Below are 11,701 nucleotides of genomic sequence, written 5' to 3'. Positions count from 1 at the left end.
AGGTGTCCTCCCCGGATGTGCGAGTGAGTTTACCGAGGCCCACTTGTCCTCCAAGGGAAGCAGTATGTTTTCCCATGGAGGCCAAAGAGCAACACAAGTCTTTTAAGTCTTCTACTATTTTTCTATCACCTATGCTTCCCAGTGTGCCACTGCAGACCCCCCAACCTATCAAATGGGCAGGGCAGATTCTATCACCTCCTTTCCAGGTGAGAAAAGTATGACCTGGGGAGGCAATCATTTGCATGAGTTTTCAGAATGGGAGCAGGGCAAGGCCTAGAGGCTGCCCCTCCCAGTGCAGGGCTCTTTACACCATGGAGCACAGAGTTCCCAATGAGGACCCATCCCCATCTCTCACCCTGTAGGATCTGCCCTTCCTTGGCAGCTGGTCCTCCAGGAACAATGGATTTCACATAGATACCACCATATGGCACACTGGTGTTAATGCCACCCTGAAAAACACAACAAAAAGCTCACCACCCATCTTTCCTCCTCCAGGAAGCCTCCCCAACCTCCCCAGCTAAGGGAATCCCCACCTGCCCACCACTCTATCCCATGACCTTACCTCCGACTGGCACTGTCTTCTGTATTCACCTGTTTGTTTAGATTGTATTCTCCACTGAGCAATAAGATTAGGTGTTCATAAGCTTAACAATAGCAACTATGTGAGAGATCTGGGCATGTCCCCAGCCCAAGCACTGGTACAAGGCGGGTGCTCAGCAACTGCTCACGTGGGATGCACCACTATCTCTATATAGGTAGTGACCAGCGTAGGTGGATATGGCTGTGGGCCTGAAGGCTTGTGCCTGGCACGTCTTGTGTGCTTTGATGGGCCAAAGGATATGTGCATTTTTCATTATAATAGATGTTGCCAGATTGCATCCCTATGTGAATATGGATATACTTATTCACATTTCTACCAGCTTTGTATGACAGTACCATTTTTCTACGTTCCACCAGCTGTATTTGGCCAAGCTGGTAGACATAAAGTTTAAAATTTTATTTTAATTTAATTTGTATTCCTGTGGCTTTTCACGGGTTTGAGTGTTTTTCATGTGTTTAATGGCCATTTGGATTTGAGTGAGACATTTCAAGAATTATTTTTGAAATTAAATATCTGCAAAGAAAATCCAAGTTTTTGCCAGCCAAAGGAAATCATCAAACTCTTCTCAGCAAATATATATTTGTGAATAACCCAAAATTTAGTCAGTTTTTCAGATGAAAAATAGCTATGTTTGGTGTCTGATAAGGCTGTTACCCCAAGCCAAGAATAAATGGACCATATTTGGTATCAGCCTGTTCACTCCATGTGGATTCATGAGCCTTATTGCTTGGTTTCTTACTTGGTCCCTTAAAATCATCTACTGATGACAAATTCATTGCAGGCTTAGGGTCCAAGAAAACACATATCCTTGCTCTAGGTACATAGCATTATCACAGGGGAAAGCAAAGAATGCCCTCCATTCACATATCTCTTGAATTTCCTCTGAAAATTTTCATCAGCCATAGAGTGTCCTTACTTTGGTGGGAGATGCCATTCTATTTCCCATCAACAGTTAAATCCAACAATGACATTCCTGAAATCCAGACCCATTCCAGGGTCTGAAGGTAATGGATCACTTTTTTTTTTTTTTTTTTTTTGAGACGGAGTCTCACTCTGTCGCCCAGGCTGGAGTGCAGTGTTGTGATCTCGGCTCACTGCAAACTCCACCTCCCAGGTTCACGCCATTCTCCTGCCTCAGCCTCCCGAGTAGCTGGGACTACAGGTGCCCGCTATCACATCCAGCTAATTTTTTTTTTTTATTTTTTAGTAGAGATGGGGTTTCACCATGTTAGCCAGGATAGTCTCAATCTCCTGACCTTGCGATCCACCCGCCTCGGCCTCCCAAAGTTCTGGGATTACAGTCATGAGCCACCGAGCCCAGCCTGTAATGGATCACTTTCAATACTCAGTAATAAAAGCAGCACCTTCCAACCTCTGACCTCTGGATTTTCACCAGTTTTGTGTGTGCCATTCCCCAACCCCTTGAGTAAACACAGTTATATGGGTAATCTCCTTTCACAAGGGTCTACCAGGCAGAGCTCAGAAACCAAATGGAAAGTGTCAGTCCTGATGGAGGCCTGGCCCTGGGATGTCTGAGCCAGAGGCTCCACACTGATTCTATGCTGGATGACAGTGGACTGCCCCACCCATCCTTGGCCAGATGACAGTGGACTGCCCTTCTTACCTTTAGCTTGTGTCCCTGAAGCCCCAATGTGCTTCTCTCTCTCTGCAGTCCAGCTTGACCTCAGAGTCAGGACACATCAGCCAACTCTGCCCACACTGCCTCCTCATGAGTTTGGAGTCCCCTAGTGCATGCCCTGCTCATCCTGAGGTTCCCCAGTACCTCTGTTTGTCTCTGAACTCATCCCCCAGTGCAGGCCCCCATTTGCTTTTTTATTTACCCCTTACATTTGTGCAAACTAAGCACACTGTCAGAGGTTGCCATCTGGGTGGAATGGCCACCAGGTTCTAGACGGACATCTTGTTAACTGCTTTTCAAGCTCTCCTAAAAACTCTTACAGTTACGCTGAATCCAAGTGTCCCATCTTCTTTAACCAGTTCCACAAAGTAGATTTCACCAGCACTGATTTCTGGAGGTGATGGAGGACAAGAAGAACCAGCACCCTGCCATAAACAAACAAACAAAAATAAAGATGGGATGAAGGAAGATGTCACCTCTTGGCTCATACTGCTCTCAGGAGCAGGCAGCATTGCACCTCAGAAAGATCATGAGTTTTGGACTGGGCCAGCAGGGGATTCATTTCCAGCTTTATCAGGCCTTCTGCATGTGACCTCAGACAAAGCAGGAGGAAGATGAGGGAGTGATGGGCTGGGCTGATGCCACTTCTAGGCAGAGAATGCTTGGGTCACTGTTCATGTTCCGCTGTCCCTCTGCCTAGAAGATGGGGTCTTTTGTCCTATCTGCCCCCTTTACTTAGTGCTTTCTAATCACCATGAATGTTAGAAAATTCTAACGACATGCAGGAAAATAAACAAGCTGGAGGAAGCTGAACAACGAAGCCTCAACTGCTGAGGTTGAGACCTGAAGTGAGAATCTAAAGTCCACCATACCACAGAGGATCATCTGGCCACAAAGTTGGCCAAGAGACCCAGAAGAGCCTGCAGCATCTGGGTTGCGTCCTACAGCCTGCACCATGGTCAACGTGGCCTTAGAGCTCCCTTGCTCCCCTCAACGGCCCCCAGCCCCAGGAAACCAACTCTCAGGTTTGCCACCAAAGAAGCCCCAGCATGAAGGCCTCTCTGCTCTGCTTCCTGCCAGAGAGGACCTACCAGAGGAAGGCCTGGGGTGAAGGTTTCTGCTCTGGAGGCCAATCTGAATCCCAGCTCTGTCCCCTGCTCCCTGAGAGAGCTTGGGTGTGCTCCTTTGCTCTTTCTGTCTCAGGTACCCCACCCATAAAAGGGGTTGATAATAGGAATGATCTCATTGGGTTACCATGGAGCTTCCATGAGCTAATACATATAAAGTGCTCAGGACACTGCCTGGCACACAGGTAAGCACTCAATTAATGGCAGCTACTATCGTTGTTCTTCCACTGGCCTCCTGCATCCAGTTCCTCATGGGATGTTCTGTCCAGGTGAGCACCATGGCCAATTAGGAAGGCACTGTCATTCATGGAGCCCTATTGCATGCCAGATCCTTGTGACAGAGGTCAAGACACACTACCCCAAAATAGGGCACCTTGGCACATTGGAGGAATTGGAGAAACAGCACATGAGGGAAGGTTTCTCTGACCTTCCCCTGCCCTTCTCTTCTGAAGCAGGCCCTAAAACCTAGGAAGGATTTTCTAATCTTCCCCCGAAGCAGGGCACAAGACCCTCAAGTGAGAATGCCCTCCCTATATCTGGAAAAATGGAGCATCTTATGTGGGAAGACACAGGGACTGAGAGAGGAATCTGAACAAGCAGGCCCTGCTGAGTTCCTCCCACCTTACATACTCCTGCTTTTTGTCTTATCTCATTTCTCCATGACTCTCCATTCTTCATCAAATATACTCAGGGAGAACTGTTTCTTCAGGTCATTTCCGTAAGAAGGCTCACATGTCACATAAAACTTATAGTAAATACACGTGGATGCTTTTCTCTCATTAATCTGTCTTTAGTTACAGGGGTCCCAGCTGATGAAGCTAAGATGAGTAGAAGAAAGATACGGGTTTTATCCCCGACACTGGGCATAGTACCTTAGTTTCCACGGCTGTGGACAGACATCATTATCTCCATCATAAAAAGAGAAACAAGGTTGAAAGAGGTGCAATAACCTGCCTGTTTCAACCAGCAAGTTGTCCCAGCAAGAATGAGAAGGGCATACACTCAGCCTGAGTAAGGGAGGATAGGTCATGGGAGACCTGTTTTCAAAGGTCTTGCCAGCCTTTGGAGAAACCAGTAATATCAGTTCAGCACCTGGGGCTAGAAACACTGGGTGCTGTGACCACCCCTGAGCCTGAAGGGCGAGAGAAGGGAGTGGTCGATGGACCCTCATAGGAGCTGTGCTCTTTGTAGAGGGGCACAGGCAACCTGTGTCAGCACAGGGAGAGAGTGGAATGAAGGGTGTGCAACTGAGACTCCAGCACTGCCACCCTGTCCTCACTCATCCCACAACTGCGGGCTCCTGCTGAGGCTTTGACTGGGCAGAACCAAGCAGAACACAGCAAGGTGACTCAGTCCATGAGCACCAGCTGTGCAGGGCCCAGAGCAGAATGGAGAGGCTGGGGCATGGGTCTGGCGGGGCCTGAGAAGACAACACCACTGGGAGTCCAAAGAGACGGCAGAGGACAGCAGAGCTGGGACTGAAGCACACAGCCCTCCATACACCTACTCCAGATCCCATCTTCTTCCTCCATGGGGTATGGTCAAGAGCAAAGCCACTGAGTTCCCAGCTTGAGGACCAATTCAAGGACAAGAATAGGAGGTGCCTGATTGCCCACGCCTTGCCATTGGCAGCAATCAATTTCCTCATGGTGCTATTATCACAACAATTATAATTAGTGACTAAAGACTCCAGAGGCACCCACACTGAGCCTGTGCCCAGACACTGTCCTAGAACTCTGCCTTCTTCTATGCGTTTTTCTCAACAACCATGCCATGCAGGCATTTGCTTCTGTATGCAAATGAGGAAGCTGTGGCTCAAACGGGCTAAGTAACTTCCATCCACCTGACATGGAAAACAGAGAACAGGAAGGGCCTAGGGGCCAGGCTGTTGGGCTTCACAGTCTGTTCTCTTTCATCCAGATCTAGAAAGTAAACCAAGGGATGATTACCTTTAACGGCAGAAAGGAAAGCTGATGTCTCAGCCTGGGCACTAAGCTCTGCACCCCAGCCATGTCTAGTTCTTCAGTATTTCTGTCCTGGTCTTGTGTGTGTGACAACAAACTTCCCTGGTACCCGAAGCTCAGGATGTCTGTAGAGGAGACCCCAGAATTGGCTGTGCTATTCTTTTCTTCATCTGGGTTATTTCCACCAACACCTATAAAAACAAGCCAAGAAAAAGTCAACAGCTTAAAAAGGCTGGTTTCTTGGTGGCATCTCTATGTGGGCACAGCGTTTTCCTCCAGTGACAGAGTGATCGTTTATAGCTGCTCGGGTACAATATGAATTTAGCTCCTCCTGAAAGATGTTACATTTAGATTAGAGAAAGGGAAGATTCTACATGGGATTTAGAAACCTAGATAGAGCTTACGTGACCCAACTATGAATGCGTAGGCTCAAAAGAAGTTCATAAGACCAGCTATCCCTTATTAAGCTCTAGCCATGTGATGGGCACCTTAGATATACATATAGGAAGATATGGACATCTTCCCATCTTCTCAGCAAACCCACCAGGAAGGTGTAATCCCAGTTCAAACATGAGAAAACAGAGTCAAAGCTATTAAGTGTCCTGCCCCAAATGCTACAGCCAGCATGTGGGAACTGTCTTAAACCCAGCCTCTCCTGGACACCCCACTGAGCACATCTGCAGCCACCATGTGATCCAAAAACCAATGTATCAGGTCCTTTTGGGAGGCTTGGTAATAACCAAACTGCAGGCCCCTGTGAGTGAAAGCTAGGCCACTGATTCCTGCTCACCCTGTGTCTGACTCGTGACCTGGCATAGAACAAAGAAAAGAACGTGAGGTTGCTGATGTTTATACATTTTGCATGTAATTACTACCATAGAATTATACACTTAAAAATTTTTAAATGATGTATGTATATCATATTGAAATTTTAAAAAGCAAACAAATAGGAGGTGCCTAAGCTTGACTCATGTTCATTAATTTGCTGACCCCTTTATTATGGCAGTGGTTAATATATTTTAGAATTTAAAATTCACTTAAAATATGTGTTAAAAGACAGATTGCTGTTTCCTTAGTTTCTGATTCATTCATGCTGGAATGGTACCCAAGAATTTGCATTTCTAATACATTTATGTATGATGTGGATGCTGTTGGTCTGTTGATCACACTTAAAAAACTTCTAGACTACATTATGCCTAAAACAGTTCCTCTGTCTCATCAGTGCAGTTGTTTAATTGATTTGTTTTTTTTTTCTCCAAGTAAAGAGATTAAGTTATTCTAATCTAATAACATGCTAATATAGTTTGGCTCAGTCAGGCAAAATCAATCATACATATGAAATCATTAACAGCTGAAAAGAAATAGAGAGAGACAAAGTTGGGAAGAGATTAAAAGTGAGAGCTGATGTGGGATTGCCTGGATGCAACTAACATCCCAGTTCCATCACCTTTCTCCTCTGTAACACTGGAACAGGTAATGAACTTCCCTGAGATTTAGATTCCCTTGCCTGTAAAGGAGAATAAATAACAAAAATTCCTCATAGAGTATTTTGAGGATTACATGGGATACTGCTTATAAAGTTGCTAGCAAAATGTCTGGTACATAACAAGTCCTAATAAACAGTTACAGATGAAAAAAAGATGGACAGGGAATAACATTCATGACAAATCAATCTGAAAAATGTTGATGTAAAAAATTCTAGAACTCAGGATATCTTCACAAAGTCGGTGTATTAAAATAAATATGGCATAAACCCTCCAATGTGAGCCTTATAAAAAGAGGAGATTTGCTTATTATGAAAAAGAGAAAGAGTGGAGGGTCTATGAGGTAATTATTAATATTAGTTTTATTAAATATTAGCACATTTCATTAAGTGTGCAGCAACCTCAAGCTGGTGTTATTAACTGAACTTGGGAGAACATTTGAGCTCATGAACTATTCACATTGTTCTAAATCTAAGTAAAAAAGTGATAAAAGAGAGAGTGCAGAAGCTAGTTAAAATGTGTTTTCCATATATATAAATATACATAATATATAAATAAATATATATTATATATAAATAAACATAAATAAATTTAATATTTATAAATTTAACATTTATAAATATATTATATATTATATATAAATAAATATTTATAAATTTAAAAGTTATAAATATATTATAATTATATATAAATATTTATAAATTTAAAATTTTATATAAAAAGATATAAATATATATGTAAATATATAATGTATAATATATCTAAATATAAATATATTTAATAATATATAATATATCTAAATATAAATATATTTAATAATATATAATATATAAAAATGTAAATATATTTAATAATATATAAATAGATTATATATATATAAATGTAGCTAACAGTTCCAACAATGTTCAAATAAGGCAAAGGCCCAGCTGCAACCAATCCAGTTGTTTCTGTACCTCACTTTCCTTTTGCTGTCCATAAATCTTCTTCCACCACGTGGCTGCGCTACAGTCTCTCTAAATCTCCTGTAATTCTGGGCGCTGCCTGATTCTCCCATCGTTCATTGCTCAAACTACTTTAAATTTTATATATATATATATTTTACACAAAGAATAGGCTGAGTTAAATATACATCTTGCTGTTTGCAGTGACCATTCTGGCTTATCATTACAGATGTCTTGTTTTCTCCTATAGAAGTAACACACTTTACTACTTTTCAAGACAGATTGTTACACTGATTCTATGATTGTCGTTAAGAGAAAAATTTCAACCAAATTAAATGTAAAGTAGTATGAGCAATGAATGATGGGAGAATCAGGCAGCACCCAGAATTACAGCACATTTAGAGAGACTGTAGCGCAGCCACGTGGTGGAAGAAGATTTACGGACAGCAAAAGGAAAGTGAGGTACAGAAACAACTGGATTGGTTGCAGCTGGGTCTTTGCCTTATTTGAACATGGTTGGAACTGTTAGCTACATTTGGCCAAAACTCAGTGATTGGTACAGATGTGGGCTACAGTTGGTTTACAACTTCACTTGTTATAGTTCACGATGTATAGAAAAACCTTTAGGTTGAACTTTAATATGTAAGGAGGCAGCTTTAGGCTAAACTTGATTTAACAATTTCCCTCTTTGGGTCATTTTCTCAATCTTGAGATATTGACCAAAACTTTAGTTATTGATGTTACTATTACCATGGCTCTTGAAACTTACTGGGAAAGAGCAGAACAGTGAGTTTGGCAAAGATGGGAACAAGGACCGAGTAGAGGGTATGTCCATATGTTGGAACATTCTGTTTACAGAAGAAAAACAAAACCTGGTCTGTTCTAGAATCTGTTTGCTATGTTTTCCATGATCAAACGTAGTTTGATTATGTTACATTCAGCACAAGCAACCCCAGTTTTGTCTGGTTTGGTCTGTTGGGGCCTAGTGCATGAGCTCAGTCCAAAACAATGGCCTCCCATAATTTCATTTAAAAGAATCCCCTTTTTGTTAGGTCATGTTCTCACTTAGGTGAGAGTGTGACCAAACTTAGGGCCTTAGCACCACTCTCAGTTACCATCATTGTGGATTTCTGGTCTCAGCATGTCATTCATAAGTTACGGTGTCCTCATGGCTGCACATTTCTTTCAGCTCTTGTCATTCCAGTTAAAGAGAGACCATTTGACATTCTAGAGATGTCTGCATGCAAACATTTAACACTTTTAAAGAGAATATAGCACACCAGAAAGACTATTATTATGACTATCAGTAGGATAATACCAAGAGTTCGGAGTGTGCTCCTTACCCGGGGTCCCCATAAACCAAACCACCCAAAATTAAATAGATCAAAGGATGAGCTACGTGAAGAGTCTACTCACTTAACTAAAGAGTCTCGGCCGGGCGCGGTGGCTCACGCCTGTAATCCCAGCACTTTGGGAGGCCGAGGCGGGCGGATCACGAGGTCAGGAGATCGAGACCATCCCGGCTAAAACGGTGAAACCCCGTCTCTACTAAAAATACAAAAAATTAGCCGGGCGTAGTGGCGGGCGCCTGTAGTCCCAGCTACTTGGGAGGCTGAGGCAGGAGAATGGCGTGAACCCGGGAGGCGGAGCTTGCAGTGAGGCGAGATCCCGCCACTGCACTCCAGCCTGGGCGACAGAGCGAGACTCTGTCTCAAAAAAAAAAAAAAAAAAAAAAAAAAAAAAGAGTCTCTTCATTAATCCCCTACAACTAAATCTATAATATGTGATGTTTTCCCCATAGGCCATAAGTGCCAGCAGCTGTACAGATACTTCTGTTTAGCTAGTAACTTATCCAGATCAATTCTATTATTTAGCATAACTTTCACAAGAGAATTTAAAGTTTATTGTGTAACCATAGCCTTTACAGTAGAATCTGCTTTAGAGCCTATCATGAGGAATACATTTTTAATCTTTGCCGCTTTTATTCCAAACTATGGAAAAAGGACCTAACAAATGATGCCCTTTTAGAAGAGTGAAAGCCTCCCAGCGATGTTCTCCTTAACCCATGATGTGGGTTAAGAGGAGTAAATCAATGTTCTGTTTCTGACTGATTATGAGGCAATGTACGTACCATTAAAGTTTCTCATCTACATTGGGCCTTCATTTTTGTCTATTAAGGTATAAGGTTATCCATGTATAAGGCTGGCTGCAAAATCCTTCACAAATAAAAGTATACCCCATAAATGCACACAAGAGAACCCTTTCACTTCTATTATTCATAGAAGCATAAGCAAGGGACAAATAATCAAAGATAAGAGTCTTATGATAGTAGAGAATTCTTGATCCATGATCTTGGGAAAACCTGTTCACAGTCAAGGATGCCATCTTCTGGGGAGAAACCCCCCTGGTTAGCTTTTCTTTAAGGCTTCTAATGGGTGTACAGTTCCAAGAGTGTAAAGGGAGCCTTCTCAGTTGTGAGATTATGAACCCAAGGTTCAAGGTCCTGAAGTTTTACTGTAGTGTGCATGCCAATGACAGTCTTTCTTTGATGTTCTCAGAAGATCAGTCTTCAGGTTCTAGTTTATGAAGGCATTGATTGTCCTCAGTGAACCATAAAAACCTTACTTTACCTGGTAAAAATACACTGTAGTATAATTATCTACTGCTACAAAGATGGCAGTGGCACCCCATCTGGAGCAGCCACTGCCGTCACATCAGCTACAGCGGTGAAACATGGTAAAGAGCTGGATACAAGTGGGAAACATGCCCTTTCTGAGTTGGTGGAGTTAGAGCTTCCTGGGAACAGGTGCAGCAGCCCAAGTAGTGGCTGCAGATCTGGGCCTCCCATTCCATGGAGCACACAGGACACCTGTCCTTCAAGATGCAACTACAGATGCCCAAGCCACGGCTGCAGAGTCAGGCATCTCTACACTCTTGGGGGCACAGGAAAAAACCCCAGGCCCTTGCAGACTTGGAGGTATCTTCTGCTCCCATTGCCTGGCTCCTCCCCACTCTTGACATCTGCTCTGATCTTGGAGCAAGGTTGTGGGTAGGCTCAGGTGCTGTTGCAGCCTGGTGGGTGTGCACATGCTTGAGGCAGTGCTGATACACCAGTACCATACTGTCTCTGGCCCCTGCCCAGGCTTTGGGCACTGACAAGCATGGGAGGGAAGCTGAGGAGATGCTGAGGGCAGCTTGGCACTGGCCTGCAGGCATCCTTTGGCACAAATAGCCTGGGTGCCATGAATGGCAGCAGGAGGCAGACAGGCTCCTGCACAGAAGGGGGTGGGTCCTTGGTGAGGCCTTTCCTTCAGGCCAGGATGGGTGTGAAGGCTGGGGTCTGGGCTGCCAGTCCCGTGAACCAGAGTGTAAACTTGTGATGCCTTTTCTGGGGCCATCCATGGCCTCTCATGGACCGATCAGTGTGCATTTCTTCCTTTCTGAGACCTATAAAAGCCCCAGGCTCAGCCAGAACTGAGCAGACATAGGGACAACCAGCTACAGAGAGCAGCTACCCACTCCAGGGCCTCATCTCTTCTGAGAGATGCAGATATTGGGATGCCCAGCTGCAGAATGGAGGTGCCCACTCCAGGACATCCTCTGAGTTATTCTGTCACTCAATATAGCTCCTCTTTGCTCACTCTCCACTTGTCTATATACCTCATTCTTCCTGGAGGTAGCACAAGAACTTGGGACTTGCCAAATGACAGGACTAAAAATGCTGTAACACAAACAAGGTTGAAACATGCCCCTTGCTCACCATGTTGTGGATGACAAGAAGAGAGAAGAAAAAAAGAGCTGTGGCTCTATGGGAACCCAGACCTGGGAGCTCCCCAGGCCAGAGCTGTGACTCCCGCTATGGGACCCTGTGGTTCCTGGAGTCTGCAAGCTTCCAGGTACAACTGTGTTCCCTTGTAACAGCCATGGAAGCTGCTTGTGGTGTGT

General features: G+C 44.0%; 1 pseudogene; it reads right to left on the bottom strand.

Moving 5' to 3' along the window:
• On the bottom strand, positions 2,560-5,524 carry LOC100420617 (FERM and PDZ domain containing 2 pseudogene; annotated as a pseudogene).

The sequence above is a fragment of the Homo sapiens genome, chromosome 10, assembly GCF_000001405.40.
Source record: "Homo sapiens chromosome 10, GRCh38.p14 Primary Assembly".
In the NCBI taxonomy this organism is placed as follows: domain Eukaryota; kingdom Metazoa; phylum Chordata; class Mammalia; order Primates; family Hominidae; genus Homo; species Homo sapiens.
The sequence above is the reverse complement of the archived record's forward strand: the minus strand, read 5'-3'. Positions and strand labels throughout refer to the sequence as shown.